This window comes from Homo sapiens, chromosome 19 (genome assembly GCF_000001405.40).
Source record: "Homo sapiens chromosome 19, GRCh38.p14 Primary Assembly".
Taxonomy (NCBI): Eukaryota; Metazoa; Chordata; class Mammalia; order Primates; family Hominidae; genus Homo; species Homo sapiens.
This window is the reverse complement of record NC_000019.10, coordinates 41,230,208-41,251,670: the sequence shown is the minus strand read 5'-3', so window position 1 is coordinate 41,251,670 and position 21,463 is coordinate 41,230,208. Positions and strand designations below refer to the sequence as shown.

General features: G+C 50.0%; 1 protein-coding gene and 1 pseudogene across 3 annotated transcripts in view; one reads left to right on the top strand and one right to left on the bottom strand.

Annotated features, from left to right (window-relative positions):
• Nucleotides 1–21,463, bottom strand: part of AXL (AXL receptor tyrosine kinase) — a 42,544-nt gene that overhangs the window by 10,096 nt on the left and 10,985 nt on the right. For 2 of the 3 annotated variants that reach the window (NM_021913.5, NM_001278599.2), the window contains 10 exons: nucleotides 20,624–20,704; nucleotides 20,373–20,488; nucleotides 13,517–13,727; nucleotides 13,062–13,201; nucleotides 12,357–12,507; nucleotides 11,951–11,977; nucleotides 8,656–8,788; nucleotides 7,964–8,055; nucleotides 3,062–3,157; nucleotides 2,851–2,928 (listed from right to left, as the gene is read on the bottom strand). In NM_021913.5, the coding sequence (NP_068713.2) occupies nucleotides 2,851–2,928; nucleotides 3,062–3,157; nucleotides 7,964–8,055; nucleotides 8,656–8,788; nucleotides 11,951–11,977; nucleotides 12,357–12,507; nucleotides 13,062–13,201; nucleotides 13,517–13,727; nucleotides 20,373–20,488; nucleotides 20,624–20,704 (1,125 nt within the window). The remainder of the gene's footprint in view (nucleotides 1–2,850; nucleotides 2,929–3,061; nucleotides 3,158–7,963; nucleotides 8,056–8,655; nucleotides 8,789–11,950; nucleotides 11,978–12,356; nucleotides 12,508–13,061; nucleotides 13,202–13,516; nucleotides 13,728–20,372; nucleotides 20,489–20,623; nucleotides 20,705–21,463) is intronic. The other variant, NM_001699.6, reaches the window with a different exon arrangement.
• TRK-TTT10-1 (tRNA-Lys (anticodon TTT) 10-1) lies at nucleotides 9,362–9,434 on the top strand (annotated as a pseudogene).

Below are 21,463 nucleotides of genomic sequence, written 5' to 3'. Positions count from 1 at the left end.
GCAAACATAGCTCACTGGAGGTTAGGCTCGAACTCCTAGGCTTGCCTTCCTGAGTAGCTGGGACCACAGGCACGCACCACCATCCCGGATAATTTTTTTTTTTTTTTTGAGATGGAGTTTCGCCCTTGTCCCCCAGGCTTGAGTGCAATGGCGCAATCTTGGCTCACTGCAACCTCTGCCTCCCCAGTTCAAGAGATTCTCGTACCTCAGCCTCCCGAGTAGCTGGGATTACAGGCATGCACCACCATGCCCAGCTAATTTTTGTATTTTTAGTAGAAACGGGGTTTCACCATGTTGGCCAGGCTGGTCTCAAACTCCCCACCTCAAGTGATCTGCCTGCCTTGGCCTCCCAAAGTGCTAGGATTTCAAGTGTGAGCCACCATGCCCAGCCAATTTTTTGAGAGGGAGTCTTGCTATGTTGTCCAGGCTGGTCTCAAACTCCCAGCCTCAAGTGATCCTCCCACCTCGGCCTCCCAAAGCACTGGGATTACAGGCATGAGCCACTGTCCCTGGCCTATCTCTATTTTAAAGATGAAGAAAGCAAGGCACAAAAAGGTTAGGAGTCTGCCTAAGGGAACACACAGCTTGGAGGTGGAAGAGGCAGATCTCAAACCCGGGCAGTCTGGCTCCAGGGTCCACCTGCTCACAACTGCCCAGGCTGCTTCCCAGCACTTCCCTACCTGCCCTGGGGACCCAAACAAGTATCATCCCATTTAACAGTTCAGGACACTGTGGCTCACAGAGGCAAAATGACTTGCCCAAGGTTGCACGGCTGAGATTCAGACCCAGGCCAAGACTATAACCAGTGGGAGGCTGAGTGGGGAGGATCGCTTGAGCCTCAGAGGTTGAGACTACAGTGAGCTGTGATCCTGCCACTGCTCTCCAGCATGGGCAACGAGCAAGACTCTGTCTCAAAAAACAAAAAACGTAGGCTGGGTGTGGTGGCTCACACCTGTAATCCCAGCACTTTGGGATGCCGAGGCAGGTGGATCATGAGGTCAAGAGATAGAGACCATCCTGGCCAACATGGTGAAACCCCGTCTCTACTAAAAACACAAAAATTAGCTGGGCGTGGTGGCGCACACCTGTAGTCCCAGTTACTCAGGAGGCTGAGGCAGAAGAATCGCTTGAACCTGGGAGGCAGAGGTAGTAGTTAGCTGAGGTCATGCCACTGCACTCCAGCCTGGACAGCAGAGTGAGACTCCTCCTCAAAACAAAACAAAACAGAGCAAAACAAACAAAATAACCTGGTACACAGGAGGTGCTCCATAATGAACGAATGAGTGGGTAATGACTTCATAGCCCAAGCTTTTAAGCCCTGTAATTCAGAAAGGATCATTCTCTATTCACCACCAGCCCCAATCTGAATGCCCTATGCTTCTCCTTCCCTGTGTGTGAAGAACTTAGCCCTGGACTTCCTGTGCTGTGTAACCCTGAAATGGCTCCTGCCCTCTCTGATAATGGAAATAATATAGTCCTACTCCACATTAACAAGCATGTCCTACTTGCCACCCTCAGCATGAAGTGCTTTGCCTCAAAACAGCTTTGGAAGGTGGGGACATTAGGGTCCTTTTTTCCAGATGACAGGTGGGAGGCTCAGAGAGGGAAAGTCATTTGCCTGAGATCGCATAGCTGGTAAATGATTCAGCCAGGTATGCCTCATTCTAGAGCTTCTCCTGCTCCACTATGTATCACAGTGGGCCGGCCCCTGAAAACTACATTTCCCAGGCTCCCTTTCCTAGTGGTTTCCTCTTGGGATTTGCCAATGGGAGGTAGGCCCTTATGGGAGACTGGCAGGTAGCGGGGAGAAAGGGAGAAGCCAGGGTATTTCACCCTCTCTCTGCTTCTGGTATTCCCTTGGTGGTGGTTGTGTCGCCCATGTGTGCGTGTGTGTGTTTTAATTTTTTTTTTTTTTCAGACGGAGTCTTGCTCTGTCGCCCAGGCTGGAGGGCAGTGGCACGATCTCGGCTCACTGCAATCTCCGCCTGTGAGGTTCAAGCGATTCTCCTGCCTCAGCCTCCCGAGTAGCTGGGATTACAGGTGCCTGCCACCACGCCTGGCTAATTTTTGTATTTTTAGTAGAGGTGGGGTTTCGCTATGCAGATCAGGCCAGTCTCGAACTCCTGACCTCATGTGATCCACCCGCCTTGGCCTCCCAAAGTGCTGGGATTACAGACGTGAGCCACCACGCCCAGCCATGTGTGTTTTATTTTTTTAAGACAAAGTCTCACTCTGTCACCCAGATTGGAGTGCAGTGGCATGATCATAGCTGACTGCAACCTCTGCCGCACAGACTCAAGTGATTCTCCCACCTCAGTGTCCCAAGTAGCTGGGACTACAGGCGTGTGCCACCATGCCCAGCTAATTTTTTGTTACTATTATTATTTTTTTTTTCATAGACATGTGGTTTCACCATATTGCCTAGGCTGGTCTCAAACTCCTGGACTCAAGCGATCTGCTGCCTCGGCCTCCCAAAGTGCTATTCTGGGTTTTTAGCTCCCACAGAGCAGCCTCTAACTCTGTGATACCAGCTCCTGCCTGGTGTCCCTAGCTGTGGATTCTGGTAACACCACTTGCTCCCTCTACCCTTCAGGCCTAGCGGGGGAAGTGACTTCCTGCTGCTGCTCATCTCTGGTTTCCCTCCCTGCCCCCAGTTGTTCCTTCAACCCGTCTCCCACCTTTGTACTAATCTCCCCATATTCAATTCCTTCTATTGAGGTACCTGGCAGGGGCTCCATTGCCTATCTGGAAACACCAGAAGTTCTAAGCTATGGCTAACTTGCTTGCTCTCTTCTGTCTCAGGGGCATAGGGAAGGAGCTGGGGGTCCTACACATGTGCACGTAACTCACTCTTCATCGTCTTCACAGCCACCTTGAGGATGGAGTCGTCCTGGTTGAGCTGGCCTTCCATCACAGCTCCAAACTCTCCTGTGGGGGGCCAGAGGGAGACACTGACCTCAGAGGGCCCGTGGGGACTGTATTTCCTATAGTTGGGTGGGAGTGTGGAAGTGCAGGATCTCAGAAGTTCAGAAGGATGTGTGTATGCTGCCGGGGGACTCACCCTCTCCCAGAGTCTTCCCCAGGGCCACCTTGTGCCGGTCCACCATCACATCCCGCAGCTTCTCCTTCAGCTCTTCACTGATGCCCAGGCTGTTCACTGCATGCAAGGTTGGGGTGGACAGAGTCATGGAGCAGGGCTGACATTCAGGTGACATTCACCCACCAGTAGGGATAGATCCATTGTTGAAACACTGACATACTTCTGCACTGATTTAAAATTAGCAACTGCCCTGAGCACCCCTCTACTTCCACCCCAGCTCCTCCTCTGGACCCCCTGAACCTTCCCTCAAAGGGAACTCAAGGGGTAAAGCCTGGCCACGCTCTTGCTCCAGTGGGCACCCTGATGGGTCAGTGCCCTGCTGTACCAGTTGTTAAAAATATTTCTTTTGCTGGGCACAGTGGCTTACGCCTGTAATCCCAGCACTCTGGGAGGCAGAGGCAGGTGGATCACTTGAGTCCAGGAGTTCAAGACCAGCCTGGGCAACATGGCGAATCTCTGTCTCTACAAAAAAATACAAAAATTAGCCGTGTGTGGTGGCACATGCCTGTAGTCCCAGCTACTGGGGAGGCTGAGGCAGGAAAATCACTTGAACCCAAGAGACAGAGGTTGCAATGAGCTGAGATCGCACCACTTCACTCCAGCCTGGGTGACAGGGCAAGACTCCGTCTCAAAAATAAAATAAAATAAAATAAAATAAAATAAAATAAAATAAAAATATTTCTTTTTGCTGGATGCAGTGGCTCATGCCTGTAATCGCAGCACTTTGGGAGGCAGAGGCCGGTGGATCACTTGAGTCCAGGAATTCAAAACCAGCCTGGGCAACATGGCGAATCCCCGTCTCTACAAAAAAATACAAAAGCTAGCCATGTGTGGTGGTACGCGCCTATAGTCCCAGCTACTCAGGAGGCTGAGGTTGGAGGATCACTTGAGCCCAGGGGTGGAGGCTGCAGTAAGCTGAGCTCATGCCACTGCACCCCAGCCTGGGTGACAGAGCAAGACCCCATCTCAAACAAAACACACACACAAAAATATTTCTTTTTATTGAAGTATAATCTGCACAAATCATAAGTAAGCAACTCAGTGGATTTTCTTTTCTTTTTTTTTTTGAGATGGAGTTTCGTTCCTGTTGCCCAGGCTGGAGTGCGATGGCGCAATCTCGGCTCACCGCAACCTCCGCCTCTCAGGTTCAAGCGATTCTCCTGCCTCAGCCTCCCAAGTACAGGCATGTGCCACTACGCCCAGCTAATTTTGTATTTTTAGTAGAGACGGGGTTTCTCCATGTTGGTCAGGCTGGTCTGGAACTCCCGACCTCAGGTGATCTGCCCACCTTGGCCTCCCAAAGTGTTGGGATTACAAGCGTGAGCCACCACGCCTGGCCAACTCAGTGGATTTTCACAAATCAAACACAAATGTGTAACTAGCACTCAGGCCAAGAACAGAACATGACCTGCCCTCCTGGGGTAGCCACTTTCTTGATTTCTGTTACAATCGATTAGTTTTGAAATATTATAAAAATGGAATCACATAGTATATTCTCTTTTGTGTCTGGCTTCTTTCACTCAACATGATGTCTATGAAATAGTTTTAATTTAGTTGTTGAGTGTAATTGTAATTTATCCATTTTCTTTGTTATATAATCATTCTCAAACAAATTGACATCAGGACACCTTTACATTGTTAGAATTATTGAGGACTAGAAAGAGCTTTTGTTTATGTTACATATATATCAATATTTCTGTATTCAAAAATAAAACTAGCTGGGCACAGTGGTTCACAGTGGTTCACCCAGCAACTTGGGAGGCCAAGGAAGGAGGACCAGTTGAGGCCTGGAGTTGGAGATCAGCCTGGGCAACATAGCCAGACCCCATCTCTAAAAAAATAAAAAAATTTTTTTTGAAACCGAGTCTCGCTCTGTTGCCTAGGCTAGAGTGCAGTAGCATAATCTCAGCTCACTGCAACTTCCGCCTCCCAGGTTCAAGTGATTCCCCTGCCTCACCCTCCTGAGCAGCTGGAATTATAGGTGTACACCACCACACCTGGCAAATTTTTGTGTTTCTTTTTTTTTTTTTAAATAGAGATGGGGTTTTGCCATGTTGCCCACACTGGTTTCAAACTCCTGGCCTCAAAAGAAAACCTATCAGGTTTATTTAATTTTTTTTTTTTTTGAGACAGTCTCACTCTGTTGCCCAGGCTGAAGTCCAGTGGTACAACCTCAGCTTGCTGCAACATCCGCCTCCCGGGTTCAAGCGATTCTCTTTCCTCAGCCTCCCAAGTAGCTAGGATTACAGGCATGCACCACCACACCCAGCTAATTTTTGTATTTTAGTAGAAATGGGGTTTCACCATGTTGGTCAGGCTGGTCTCAAACTCCTGACCTCAAGCAATTTGCCCACCTTGGCCTCCCAAAGTGGTGGGATTACAGGCATGTGCCACTATGCCCAGCCTGATAAATTTTTAAAACAAGAATATACAAGCACAAGGTCCATCAGCTGTCAGAGTGTTGGATGACATCATCCCACGTCAGGGAGCCTCTGGAAAACTGCGCTGAATGCTAATGAGAGAATGAGAAAGCAAAAGGGCAAATAATGTCTTGGTAATAGTATGAAAATAGATTTGACCTTATGGGCCCCCTGCAAAGGTCTCAGGGACCACAGGGGACCAGGCTCACACCCTGAGAATGGATGCTGTATGTTACTCAGTTAAATCACTGGGACATCGTTGCTTCTTCCTTCTCTTCTTAAATAAATGTCTTTCCCAGCCCTTTCCAAACATCCCCCTGGGGCCCTGGCGGCTTTCTCGCTGTATGCTAGGAAGAGACCTAGCTCTTCCATTTTCTTTCTGGATTTCAGTTTCCCTAACTGGAAAGATGAGATTCCTTTTTTTTTTTTTTTTTTTTGAGACGGTGTCTTGCTCTATCACCCAGGCTGAAGTGCAGTGGCACGATCTCGGCTCACTGCAACCTCCGCCTCCCAGGTTCAAGAGATTCTCCTGCCTCAGCCTCCCAAGTAGCTGGGATTACAGATTACATCTGGCTAATTTTTGTATTTTTAGTAGAGACAGGGTCTCGCCATGTTGGCCAGGCTGGTCTCGAACTCCTGACCTCAAGTGTCTGCCCGCCTGGGCCTCCCAAAGTGTTGAGATTACAGGCGTGAGCCACTGCACCCAGCCGAAAGAACAGATTTGACTGGGCCTCTGAGATCCCCTCCTCGGCTGAGACCTTGCATGGCTTTCCAGCCTTCTAATGGAGAGTCTATAGTTCTAAGATTTTATGATTTCAAAAGTATAAGGGTGTAGAGTACATGCATATAATTTTTCAGGCCAAGATCGATTCTATCTCTCTACCAATTTATAATTCCAAGAGGTAGTAGAGTGTGGCAGTTCAGAGTATAGACTTCAGGCCAGGCGTGGTGGCTCACACCTGTAATCCCAGCACTTTGGGAGGCACGGGTTCAGGAGGTCGAGACCAGCCTGGCCAATATGGTGAAACCTTGTCTCTATTAAAACTACAAAAATTAGCCAGGCGTTGTGGCATGTGCCTGTAGTCCCAGCTACTTGAGAGGCTGAAGCAGGAGAGTCGCTTGAATCCAGGAGGCGGAGGTTGCAGTGAGCCAAGATCAAGCCACTGCACTCCATCCTGGGTGACAGAGCAAGATTCTATCAAAAAAAAAAAAAAAATAGTATAGACTTCAGAGCAAAAGTACCTGGGTTCAAATCCCAGCTATCCAATTTACAAGCTGTGTGGCCTTGGGCAAGTGACTTAACCACTCTATGCCACAGCTTCCTCATCTGTGAAGTGAAGGTGATAAGAAACCCACCTCTGGCTGGGCGTGGTGGCTCACGCCTGTTATCCCAGCACTTTGGGAGGCCAAGGCAGGTTGATCACTTGAGGCCAGGAGTTCCAAGACCAGCCTGGCTAACAAAGACAGGGTTAGTAAAACCCCATCTTTACTAAAAATGCAAAAATTAGCCAGATGTGGTGCCATGCACTTGTAATCCCAGCTATTCGGGAGGCCGAGGCATAAGAATCACTTGAACCTGGGAGGTGAAGGTTGCAGTGAGCTGAGATTGTGCCACTGTGCTCCAGCCTGGGCAACAGAGCGAGACTCTGTCTCAAAAAAAAAAAGAAAAAAAAAGAAAAAAGAAACCCGTGTCCTTGGGTTGCTCTGAGGGTTAAACGAGGAGATACATGTAGAATGCTTAGAACAGAGCCTGCCACATAGGTAGTGCTAGGGTTGCCTGTGATTTTTATCACATCATCACCATCTAATCTCAACATTATTTCATCATCATCATCATTTTCTTCTTGTCATTATCTTCATCATTATCATCATCATTACATCTTCTAAGATCCAATGGCTCTGAGGTTTGGTGTTTCTTTTCTTTCTTTTATTTTTTTTTCTTTTTTGAGACAGGGTCTTGCTCTGTCACCCAGGCTGGAGTGCAGTGGTGTGATCACGGCTTACTGCAGCCTTGACCTCCCTGGGCTCAGGTGATCCTCCTACCTCAGCCTCCCGAGTAGCAGGGAGTACAGGGGCACACCACCATACCTGGCTAATTTTTTTTTTTTGTAGAGACAGGGTTTCACCATGCTGCCCAGGCTGTTCTCGAACTCCTGGGCTCAAGTGATCCTCCCACCTCGGCCCCCCGAAGCGCTAGGATTACAGGCATGAGCCACCACACCCAGCCTTGGTGTTTCTAAGATTTACTGTGTCTAAGATTCTATTCCTTGAAAGTTCTTTGTGGTTCCACAAATCTGTTATTTCTAGGGTCTGTGGTTCTGACATTCTAGTATCCCAAGGCCTTTAGAAACTTTTGGCTCACACATGTACAGAAGCCCAGCAGGCCAGATTCTCTACAGCCTTTAGATCCAGGCCAGGGCAGTGGGGCATAGGGTTCACTTACAGGTAGCTTCAGTGGTCCGACGACTGTAGGACTTGCGCACGCGGTACCTGACTACCAGTTCACCTCTTTCCACTGTTGGTTCAAACACTTCTCTGGGGGGGAGGGGGAGTAGGTGAGGGCAGGGAAAAACCATGTGGAACCCCCTACTCAACCAGCAGTTGAGCAAGCACCATCTCAGCCTCAAGCCCTGCCTGCCCTCTGTGCTAACATTTGCTGAGCATGCCTTGGGCAGCTACCTTCTGCCTTCCATTCATTCCACACACCCCCTTGCCCTCATTCTTTTTTTTGAAAACAGGATCTCACTCTGTCACCCAGGCTGGAGTGCAGTGATGCGATCTCAGCTCACTGTAGCCTCCATCTCCCGGGTTCAAGTGATTATCGTGCCTCAGCCTCCCAAGTAGCTGGGACCACAGGCGTGTGCCTACACTTCCCGCTAATTTTTGCATTTTTCAGTAGAGACAGGGTTTCGCCATGTTGGCCAGGCTGGTCTCAAACTCCTGACCTCAAGTGATCCACCTGCTTCAGCCTCCCAAAGTGCTGGGATTACAGGCGTGAGCCACCACGCCTGGCTTCCCTTGCCCTCATTCTGATTCTTAGTCATCACTCCTCCTGCACCAGCCTCCTCACTGGCCTCCCTGCCTCCAGCCTCTCCATCCCAGGCCACACAGCCTCCCCATGTGGTTCCAACTCACCCATAACGGGTCTCCTTCTTTCGCCGGTGGACAAGGAAGAGAGCCAAGATGAGGACACAGGCAGCGGCCACGACTGCTCCTAGCAGTACATACCACCAGGGCCACGAGAAGGCAGGAGTTGAAGGTTCCTTCACTATCAGGGGGTATGAGGAACAGGTCATGGATGAAGCCTTGGATCCAGCTCTCTGGGACCCAAAGGGGTGATGTGGGAGGGAGGCAGAAGGCCTCGGCAAAGATGTGCACATACTTGATGAGGTGTGTGATGGATGCATTCACATATCTGAATGGGCTGGGCTGGACAGGGCATGCAATGGATGTGATACAAGTGCAGGTTAAAGCAGAAGTGTGTGAAAGTTGTAGGATGGGTGAGTTAAGAGTGGGATGGAGGCCAGGTGTGGTGGCTCATGCCTGTTATCCCAGCACTTTGGGAGGCCAAGGCGGGTGGGTTACTTGAGGCAAGGAGTTCAAGACCAGCCCGGCCGACATGATGAAACCCTGTCTCTACTTAAACAAAATATATACAAAAATTAGCTGGGGTGGTGGTGCACACCTGCAATCCCAGCTACTCGGGAGCTGAGGCAGGAGAATTGCTTGAACCTGGGAGGTGGAGGTTTCAGTGAGCCGAGACTGGGCCACTGCACTCCATCCTGGGTGACAGAGCAAGACTCCATCTCAAAAAAAAAAAAAAAAAAAAAAAAAAGAGAGTGCCAGGATAGTTCAGGTGGTAGAGCATCAGACTTTTAACCTGAGGGTTCAGGGTTCAAGTCTCTGTTTGGGCGTTTGCAGTTTTCCTTACTTTAAGCTACCAAATATTATGCCACCAAGATCCAAAAAAACAGAAGAGTGGAATGGATATTTGAGGAGTGTGCAGTGAGTGTGGAATGGGAGGGAGAGATGTGTGGAACGCGTTATGAGTGTGCCAAGAGGGCTAGATGAACATGAGATGGGTGTGGAGAAATCTCAAGCAGCATAGGTTAGTGTGAGAAATGTGATGATTGTGCAAGAAGGGTGGACTAGAGTGTAGATAAGCAGGTGAGTGGGGAAGAAGATCCTTGCAGTGTAGGATGGTGCATGAAGCGTGTGCAAGGAGGGCGGACTAAGGAACATCTTTTGAAGAGAATGCAATGACTACAAAAGGGTTTTCTTTGTCTCTTTTTTTGTTTGTTTGTTTTTTGAGACAGGGTCTCACTCTTTCACCCAGGCTGGAGTGCAGTGGCCCGGTCTCAGCTCATTGCAACCTCTGCCTCCCAGTTTCAAGCAAATCTCCTGCCTCAGCTTCTAAGTAGCTGGGATTACAGGTGTGCACCACCATGCCCAGCTAATTTTTGTATTCTTTTTTTGGTAGAGACAGGGTTTCACCATGTCTCCTGAGTAGCTGGGACTGCAGGTCTGTGCCACCTGGCTAATTTTTTTTTCTTTTCTTTTTCTTTTCTTTCTTTTTTTCTTTCTTTCTTTCTTTTTTTTTTTTTTTTGAGACAGAGTCTTGCTGTGTTGCCCAGGCTGGAGTATAGTGGCATGATCTTGGCTCACTGTAACCTCCGCCTCCCAGGTTCAAGCAATTCTTGTGCCTCAGCCTCCCGAGCAGCTGGGATTACAGGCTCGCACCACCAGGCCCAGCTAATTTTTGTATTTTTAGTAGAGATGGGTTTTCGCCAATGTTGGCCAGGCTGGTCTTGAACTCCTGACCTCAGGTGATCCACCTGTCTCAGGCCTCCCAAAGTACTGGGATTACAGGCGTGAGCCATTGCACCCGGCCACAATGGTTTCCATAAAGCCAGGAATGAGGGTGAAATAAATATCCAAAGGGGCATGGTAAGCATATACAGGGTTGGATGGCTGCTGGAAAAGTTGGGGGTGTGTGAAGTGGGAAGAGTATTCGTGAAGTCTTAGATACAAGGAGTGAGCAAGGAATTTTAAGGATGTAATTGCAGTGTGAGAGAAGTGTGCAGTGAGCATGCAAAAGATGTTAGAAGGGCAGATGAGAAGTATGGGGTGCACAGAAAGGGGGTGTAAAAAGGGCAGGGGTGGAATGGAGTGTGTAAGAAATAAAGATCATTATGTGCTGAGTATGCAAGGGGTTCAGGGTGAGTGTGCAGAGTGAGATGGGTTGGGATTAGTGAAGGGTGAGGGAATGATGTCTATGGAGTGTGCAGTAAGCATGCAAGGAGAATCGGGTGTGGGAAAGTTGTGGACAATGTTTTTCAGTGTTTGCAATGTGGAAGGTATGGTAAGTGCATACAAGGTGTGCAGAGTTTGTGAATGAGAAGTGTGTTGTGCAATGGGCCTTTGGGGTCATGTGGGAGGAACGGATTATAATGGGATATATGTGAAAGGAGGGTGGAATAAGCGTGGAAAGCGTATGTGAAGAAATGTAGGAAGGGATGTGAGGAGTATTGAAGGCTAGTGGGTTGAGTTACAAGAGTGAACCATAATAGTGCCCAGAGGGGACAATGGGTGTAGGAGGAATGTTTGAGAATTGTTAGAGAAATATTTGAGAGGGATGGATGTGAGGAGGATACCTCATTCATCCATCCATCCACCTTTCTACCCATCCATTCATCCACTCACAAATCCATCCATCTGTCCATCCATCCATTTATCCAACCATCCATTCATCCATCCATCCATCCATCCATCCACCCATCTACCCATCCATATATCCACTCACCACCCAGTCATCTTTTGTTCATCCACCTATCCACCCATCTATTAATCCATTGACCCACCCACCCATCCACCCTCCATATATCCAACCATCCATCCATCCACCCTCCATATATCCACCCACCCATCCATCCACCCATCCATCTACCCATCCATTTATCCACTCACCATCCAGTCATTTATCTGTTCACCCACCTATCCACCCTCTATTCATCCATTGGCCCACACACCCATCCATTCTCCATATATCCACCCATCCATCCATCCACCCATCCATCTACCCATCCATTTATCCACTCGACATCCAGTCATTTATCTGTTCACCCGCCTATCCATCCTCTATTCATCCATTGACCCACCCACCCATCCACCCTCCATATATCTATCCATCCATCCATCCATCTATTTGTTCATCCATCCACCCACTCATCTGTCATTGCCTGAATACCTACAATGTGCTATGCTAGGCCATTATAGGCACCTCCATCAAGGACCACACAAACTCAAGAAGTAGGTTAGAGTGATGAGTTAGAGAAACATGAAAGGGATGTGCAATGAGTATGCATGGTGACAGTGCCCCCACTAGGTGTTGAGGGTAGGGAAGGAGGAGATGGGGTGTGGAAGCCCTTACCCAGCTGGTGGACTGGCTGTGCTTGCCCTGTGAGAAGAAAGGACAGAGAGGAGATGTGCTCAGAGAGGACAAGACTGGCGTGGCACGGGTAAGGGAGTAAGGGTGTGGCACGGGTAAGGGAGTGAGGGTGTGGCACGAGTAAGGGAGTGAAGGTTTGGCACGGGTAAGGGAGTGAGGGTGTGGCACGGGTAAGGGAGTGAGGGTGTGGCACGGGTAAAGGAGTGAGGCCGTGGCACAGGTAAGGGAGTGAGGGGTTGGCATGGGTAAGGGAGTGAGGGCAGCTCTCAGTAAGGCTCAGGGTAGGAACAGGGCCTAAGTTGCGGTAACACTGAAAGGTACAAGGAGTAAGTCAGGGCTGTCAGGGAGAGACAGGGTTGAAGCAGGTTGGGCATGGCTTTGGACTTACCTGGGCGCCAGGCCTCCAGGGGTACTGGGAGGCTCCAGGGTCCATCCCCAGCAGCAGTGTAGGCTGCCACACACACTGTCAGATTGGACACAGACCCGTCCCCCTGCAGCTCCAGGGTCACCTCTTGCCTTAGCCCTATGTCCATTAGCACCTAGGAGGTCCAGAAGTGGCATCAGGGTAGAACCTTACCCCCCAGCTGTTAAGCCTTCACTCTCGGGCTCAATGCCCCATCTCTTTCTCAAAACGCTCTCCCCATCCTCCAACTCCTCATCCTTCCTCGTCCTCCCCTTCATCTCTCATCCTCATCCTTTAACCTGTATCCCTCCATCCCCTTCTAGCTTCCCTTTCCATCCTCCCTCCCTATGTCAGGGTATTGCTAGCCCTGATAGGAGTGCCTTTGTGAAAATCAGGAAAAGGTACCCCTTCCCCAAGGTGCTATATAACTATCTGCTGTAAAATCGTTATATAGTAAATATGAGTCTGCTGAAATGCTTTTGCAGTGGTTCAAAAACAGCCATTCCCCATGCCCTCCCTTAGACCCCCTTATTCTCCCCAGAATGTGAATGTGAACCTTCCCTGAATGTGCCCCCTAGGCATAGAGCAATTGTGTACTACCCAACCTTCACAACCATCTATGTCTGCCCTGATATGTTCTCCTCCCTCCTCCCCAAGCCACTCCACTCCAATCCCACCAGCAGCACCCACCTCTGGGGTGTCCTGGCCTTGATACGCCAGCCGGTACCCTAACAGGGTACCCTGCAGGGGCGCCCGGGGCTCTTGCCAATGCACGAAGGCCTGGCTCCCATTCCGCGTAGCACTAATGTTCTCAGGGGGGCCCAGGGGCACTGGAGGACAGGGAAGAGGGGAAGCTGGCACCCCCACCTCTTCCTGACCCCCTCCCCTGTTCCCAGGAAGTGGGTGCAGGGTGCCAAGGGCACACACGTGGGCAACTCGTGCAGGCCTCCCATGAGAGGAAGCACAGGGGAGAGAAGGGCTGGGAGAGAGGCCAGCGGGCAGTGCTGCTGAGGGGTCAGAGATTGGATGGGAAGGAGATTGAGGCCATGAGGGGTAAAGGAGTGAAAGGGGACAATGGGGGTGGCACTGATATAAGCAAGGTCCGGTGGGGCAGTGGTGACGTGTCCCTCCCCAACCCTTCTTACCTCCCTCCGGCGTCTCCACAGGAAGCCAGTGGGTCCAGGATGAGGGGCCCTGGCTGCTGGTGCATGCCACGCGGATGTGATAAGGGGTGTGAGGATGGAGGCTGCCTAGCCGAAGCTGATGGGGGGGCACGGATGCTTGCGAGGTGAGGGGCTCCTCTGGGGGGTCTGGTTCTCCCGCCTGGATGCCCATCCCATCGTCTGACAGCACAGCCTGAGGAGAGGCAAGGGTGTGAGGACGGGACAGCCAAGCAATCACACGAGATGGTCACACAGCTCCCAGTGGTGGTGGTCTGGTGTGACTACACAACTTTTCAAGGGTGCGTGTGTGTTGCAGTGCCATGCTAGGATAACACGGGCACCTGGATTTGCAAAGCAAGGAGATCATTTGGCTGTATACAATGTGGTTCTGTCACCACTTCCAAAAGCCACCTCTGGCAAGACTCTTCCCTCTCTGAGCCTCAGTTTTTTCCTTGGGCACACGGGGCCTTAGAGGATCAAGTGCCTTACAGGATTGTTTAAAGATTAAGTGTAGTTATGCCCAAAGGATGCCACAGTGCATGGCGGGTGGTCAGCACCGATAATAATAGTGTGATGACAATAATAACGCAAATAGACTGGGCACGGTGGCTCCCGCCTGTAATCCCAGCACTTTGGGAGGCCAAGGTGGGCGATCACTTGAGGTTAGGAGTTCAAGACCAGCCTGGCCAACGTGGTGAAACCCCATCTCTTCCAAAAATGTAAAAAATTAGCTGGATGTGGTGGCGCTCGCCTGTAATCCCAGCTACTCGGGAGGCTGCGATAGGAGAACCACTTGAACCTGGGAGGCAGAGGTTACAGTGAGCTAAGATCACACCACTGCACTCCAGCCTGGGTAACAGAGCAAGACTCTGTCTCAAATAATAGTAATGATCATCATAATAATAGCACGATACTGTGAGGCCCCATTTATATGACATTATACTACAGGCAAAAGCAATGTTCTAGAAGCAGAAGGGTGGCCATCTCTGGGGCCTGAGGGAGACTTCTTGGGGACTGGAAGGGTCTGTGTCTTGATTTGGATGGTGGTTACATGGTGAATATGTGTGTTAAACAATCTCAAAGGTGTCCAATCTTTTGACTTTCTTGGACCACAGTGGAAGAAGAATTGTCTTGGGCCACACATAAAATACGCTAACACTAACGATAGCTGATGCGTTAAAAAAAAAAATCACAAACAAATCTCATAATGTTTTAAGAAAGTTTACGAACTTATGTTGGGCCGCATTCAAAGCCATCCTGGGCCACATGTGTTAGACGAGCTTGATCTAGAGGTACACTGAAGATTATGCATGTTATACATCTCATTTCTTTTTCTTTTTTTTTTTTTTTCCTTTTTTTGGAGAGGGAGTCTTGCTCTGTCGCCCAGGCTATAGTGCAGTGGTGAGATCTTGGCTCACTGCAACCTCCGTCTCCTAGGTTCAAGCAATTCTTCTGCCTCAGCCTCCCAAGTAGCTGGGACTACGCGTACCACCACGCCCGACTAATTGCCGTATTTTCAGTAGAGACAGCGTTTCACCATGTTAGTCAGGCTGGTCTCAAACTCTTGACCTCAGGCAATCCGCCCGCCTCAGCCTCTCAAAGTGCTGGGATTACAGGTGTGAGCCACCGTGCCCGGCCTATGAGTCTCATTTCATCACCTGAGCTGGAGTGCAGTGGCGTGATTTCGGCTCACTGCAATCTCCGCCTCCCAGGTTCAGGCAATTCTCATGCCTCGGCCTCCCAAGTAGATGGGATTACAGGCGTGAGCAACCATGCTTGACTAATTTTTTTTTTTTTTTTTTTTTAGACAGAGTCTTGCTCTGTCACTCAGGTTGGAGTGCAGTGGTACAATCTCGGCTCACTGCAACCTCCGCCTCCTGGGCTCAAGTAATTCTTCTGCTTCAGCCTCTCGAGTAGCTGGGGCTACAGTCATGTGCCACCATGCCTGGCTAACTTTTTTGTATTTTTAGTAGAGACGAGGTTTCATCATGTTGGTCAGGCTGGTCTTGAACTCCTGATCTCAAGTGATCCGCCCCCCTCGGCCTCCCAAAGTGCTGGGATTACAGGTGTGAGCTACCACACCCGGCTTTTTTTTTATTCTGTGTAGAGAAAGGGTTTCACCATGTTGCCCAGGCTGGTCTCAAACTCCTGACCTCAGGTAATCCACCTGCCTCGGCCTCCCAAAGTGCTGGGATTACAGGCGTGAGCCACCTCACCTGACTATGTTATATATTATCTTAATAAAAAAAGATAAAACACGTCCAACATGTACTGAGTGCCTTTCTTAGCCCTTGACAAATCTGAATTCATTTGGCCCTCACATCAATCCTGTTGTCCTGTGGTAAGCATTATGCTTATTCCCACTGTACAGATGACAACACTGAGGCCCAGAGAGACGGAATCACTTGTTCAAGGTCATCAGTTTGTCACTGATGAAGCTGGGACCTAAACCCCATCCTGTCCCCAGAGTCTTTGCTCTACTGGCGGTAAGAATATCAGTAATGGTAACAATACCTCTTGTCTGTGCACAGAGGCAGTTTAGCCTAGTGCTGAGGAGCACGGATGCTGGATCTGGGGCTCAAATCCAGGCTCTATCATTCCCTAGCTGTGTGCCTCAGTCTTCTCACCTGTAAAATGGGATGACAGTGGCTCCCCACTTCACAGGGTTGACTGAATTGGGGCATGTAAGCATTTAGAAGACTGCTTGTGCATACTGTCATTTATTATCTATCTATCTATCTATCTATCTATCTATCTATCTATCTATTTATTTATTTATTTATTTGAGATGGAGTTTCGCTCTTGTTGCCCAGGCTGGAGTACAATGGCATGATCTCGGCTCACTGCAACCTCCGCCTCCCAGGTTCAAGTGATTCTCTTGCCTCAACCTCCTGAGTAGCTAGGATTACAGGCATGCACCACCACACCCGGCTAATTCTGTATTTTTAGTAGAGACAGGGTTACTCCATGTTGGTCAGGCTGGTCTCAAACTCCCTACCTCAGGTGATCTGCCCGCTCAGCCTCCCAAAGTGCTGGGATCACAGGCACGAGCCACCGTGCCCGGCCTGTCACTTATTATTTTATGTGTGTTTCCTGGCAACAAGTGTCAAGCTCTGCATAGCGGCACAGGTTCCCATACCTATTCCACCCGAGGAATGGCACACTCAGAGTGGAGGGGGCCACCACTGGTGTACACATCTGTATAGCCCTGCCACATGGAACCACAAAACCCCCATAACCACACAATTCACAGCCACGCCTCAGGAATGGTGCAGCCAAGGGCTTCCCCTTCACCCTGGAGACTCCAGCCATACAGCCACACAGTATGTCAGGAAGGAGTTTACTGCCACAGGGTGTGGGCTCTAAAGCCAGATTCCTTGGATCTAAGTCCTGTGTTGGATGTTGTTTGCTGTGTGACCTAGAGTGAGTGTCTTAACTTCTCTGAGTCTCAGTTTCTGTCTCTGGAAAATGGGCATCACAGTTCTTACTTGTCAGGGTATAAGGTTTAATGACATGATGCATATAAACTGCTTTGCACATTATAATTATCAACAGCTAACGTTTGTTTTCTTTCTTTCTTTCTTTTTCTTTTTTCTTTTTTTTAGGCAGGGTCTCACTCTGTCACACAAGCTGGAGTGCAGTGGTGTAATGACAGCCCCACCTAATTTTTTAATTATTTGGAGAGATGGCGTTTCACCATGTTGGCCAGGCAGGTCTCAAACTCCTGGGCTCAAGCGATCCACCTGCCTCGGCCTCCCAAAGGTCTAGTATTACAGGTGTGAGCCATGGCACCCGGCCTAGCAAATATTTCTTGAGTGCCAAATATGTACCAAGCTCTCTGTCAAGCACATTACTGGATGAACTCATTGACTTCGCACTACCACCCTATGGGGTCAATTTCTTTTCTCATCCCCATTTTACAGACAGGGAAGCCAAGGCCCAGAGAGGTTCAGCAACTTGCCCAAAGTCACACAGCCCCCATGGAGGGAGATGACACCACCATGAGACCTGGGGAGGAGTGGGGGCAGATGGTGGGTACGAGGAGGGGGTGAGGCTGTCACCATGCCTGCTCTCTGACCTGCAGTGACAGACAGGAAGAGGAACCTCTACCAGGACAGAGAGGAGATGGGTACAGACAGTTGGTCTCCCCATGCCTGCTCCCACTTCTCTTTTCCCTGGGACGGCTGTGACCCTCCCACTGGAACTCTTCAGCCCTAGCCCATGTGCAGCAGGAAGTGAGACCTGGAAAGGGAAGAGGACACACTTCTGCTTTCCTGGGGACACTTGGTGATGTGGGTAGAGTGCAACTTATGCCTGACCTGGCATTTGAGGTCTCCCAAATCCAGCTGGCCTCTGGGATTGAATCTCAGCTTCGGCTTTCTAGCCCCGGGGAGGGGAGGAGGATGGGAGGAACTGAGGCCCAGAGAGGGGGCCCCTCTCTGGGCCTCAGTTCCTCACCTTGAAAACGGGAAGATTAATAGCCACTGTTTTTTGTTTTTTTTTTTCTCAGACAGAGTCTTACTCTGTCACCCAAGCTGGAGAGCAGAGGTTCAATCCTGCCTCACTGTAGCCTTGACTGCCAGGCTCAGGTGATTGTCCCACTTCAGCCTCCCGAGTATCTGGGACTACAGGTGTGTGCCACCACACTGAGCTAATTTTTTTGAATTTTTTGTACAGACCTGCCTCAGCCCCCCGAAGTGCTGGGATTACAGGCGTGAGCTATCATGCCCAGCCAATAGCCACTATTTTCTAGGTTTAAAACGACAAGCAGATGGGGTTGTGCTCAGAGCATGTAAGTATAAGACAATTCCTGTTTAATCAAGCACTGACTCTAAACATTTTCTCAGGGCCCAGCGCGGTGCCTCACGCCTGTAATCCCAGCACTTTGGGAGGCCGAGGTGGGCGGGTCACTTGAGGTCAAGAGTTCGAGACCAGCCTGACCAACATGGTGAAACCCTGTCTCTACTAAAAATACAAAAATTAGCTGGGCGTGGTGGTGGGCGCCTGTAATACCAGCTACTCAGGAGGCTGAGGCAAGAGAATTGCTTGAACCTAGGAGGCGGAGGTTGCAATAAGCCGTGATCACGCCACAGCACTCCAGTCTGGGTAACAGAGCGAGACTCTGTCTCAAAAAAAAAAGAAAAGAAAAAACAAAAAACAGTTTCTAAGGAGGTTAGGAGCATGACATGGGTTTGATGTGACCTTGGACAATCTGGTTAACCACTCTGAGCCTTAGTTTCTTCATCTGGAAAATGGGTGTATCCATAGACCCTCCTTCACAAACACACGAGCAGGTGTGCGTTAATGCAAGACCCGGTGCACAGCGGACACTCAGTAGAAATTGGTCATTCTTCATTACTGTCATCTACCATCATAGGCACTGTCCACCCCCCATCTCCAACTTTCTAATCTCAGAGAACTTCAGACCAGAATTAGGCCTTATATTTACAGATCTGTGAGTTTTGTTTTGGTTTTGGTTTTCTTCTTTCTTTCTTTCTTTTTTTTTTTTTCTTGAGACGGAAGTTCGCTCGTGTTACCCAAGCTGGAGTGCAATGGCACGATCTCGGCTCACTGCAACCTCTGCCTCCAGGGTTCAAGGGATTCTCCTGCCTCAGCCTCCTGAGTAGCTGGGATTACAGGTGTGTGCCACCACACCCGGCTAATTTTTTGTATTTTTAGTAGAAATGGGGTTTCACCATGTTAGCCAGGCTGGTCTCGAACTCCTGACCTCAGGTGATCCACCAGCCTTGGCCTCCCAAAGTGCTGGGGTTACAGGTGTAAGCCACCACACCTGGCCTGGTTTTGGTTTTCTTATTCTAGGAGCAACTTGAGGGCAGAGGCTGGGTCTAGCTCATCTGGGTTGTAATATATCCTTCTAGCGAATATTCCCTACTCTATGTCTGGTCCTGTGCTGGGCAAGAATGAGGAGCCAGTGGTGACTGGGACAGCTCCAGCCCTGCCCTGTCAGAGCTCACATTCCAGTAGGGGACAGACCCATCCCCAGACAGTGACCACACAGAGTGGCCAGGGCTGGGATGGGAGAAGTGGAGGGTTCTGGGTATCCAGTGGTGACAGAAATGGCTCCAGACTCTGCTGTCTCAGGGCTCCCACTCTGGCTAGAGTTAACATCACTAATACTGAAAATAATTAAAACAGCTGATCATTTTCATTTTGTTAAATTTTTTTTGTTGTTGTTTCTTTTTTTTTTTTGAGACAGAGTCTCGCTCTGTCACCCAGGCTGGAGAGCAGTGGCACGATCTTGGCTCACTGCAACCTCCGCCTCCCAGGTTCAAGCAATTCTCCTGCCTCAGCCTCCCCAGTAGCTGGGACTACAAGTGCGTCCCACCAGGCCCAGTTAATTTTTGTATTTTTAGTAGAAATGTGGTTTCACTATGTTGGCCAGGCTGGTCTCGAACTCCTGACCTCAAGTGATCCGCCCACCTCGGCCTCCCAAAGTGCTGGGATTACAGGTGTGAGCCACCGCGCCTGGCCAATTTTGTTAAATTTGTTTCCTATGTTCTATATACCATTTTAAGTTGGTAATTTGCATTCACTCATTGAATTTTCACACTAAGCATACCAGGTAGGCACTACCATTATGTCCATTTTGTAGACAAGAGAGCTGAGCCCCGGACAGATTAAGCCACCTACCCAAGGTCACACAGCCAGAAGGTGGTGGAGCTAGGATTCGAACCCAGGACATCTGGCTTAACCCCCCAGGCTCTACTGCTTCTCAACAGTGGCCGAGAAGTGGTGGGTTCCCAGGGAGAGGATGGGGGTTGTGGATGTGGGTGGAAGGAGGCCTGAGACTGAAATGAACCAAGTTTGGGAGTCTCACCTGCAGGGTGCAGTGGGTCAGGGGGTAGATGCCGCTCAGGCCTGGAGTCCAAGCCACCTCCAGCTCCGTGGGTTGGCGGGAGACCAGGTGGAGGTTACGGGGCTGCTGGGGGAGCACTGTGGACAAACGGGAGAGATTGACCCTGGGGAGCCTTTGCTCAAAGCTCCCTACCCTGCTCTCTGCCCCCACTCTGACCCCGGACCCAAACCCCACCCTCTGACGCCCAGCTCCCCACCTCCCAACTCTGTCACCTGTGATGGTGGCTGTGCGGGATGTGGTGACCCCCTTGGCGTTATGGGCTTCGCAGGAGAAAGAGGATGTCTTGTTCAGCCCTAGGGAGTCATATGAGGGAAGGGTCCAATATCAGAGAGGGGCAGGAAGGGCTCCGGGGCCATGCCGGGCCACTCCTACCATGGCCTGCCTGACCAGGGGCAGTGCAGCCCACACAGGCACTTGCCTGAAGGGAGGGTTAGCAGAGTTGAGGGCAATGAGTTAGGAACACAGCCTCCATCCCCAAACACAAGGATGGCTTGGTTTCAGCCCTAACCTCCCGCCACACAGACACACATAGTACAGACACACACAGACACACACAGGCACAGGCACAGGCACACACACTGTCTCACACACACATTCTTACACCCCAGAGACAGACACACTCATACACACACATAGACACACATACTCACACAGAAACACACAAAGACACACACAGCCACACACAGGCACAGGCACACACACTCATACACACAGACACACAGACACAGACACACACAAAGACACACAGCCACACACAGGCACAGGCATACACACACAAAAACACACATACACAAACACACATGAAGACACACAACCACACACAGTCACAGGCACACTCACTCTTACACCCCAGATAGAGACACACACTCATACACACACATAGACACATATGCTCAGACACACACACAGGCACAGGCGCATACACACACACACACACATTCTTACACCCCAGAGAGAGATACATACTCATACACACACATGCTCACACAGACTCACACACAGTCACACACAGGCACACACACACATTCTTACACCCCAGAGACACATACTCA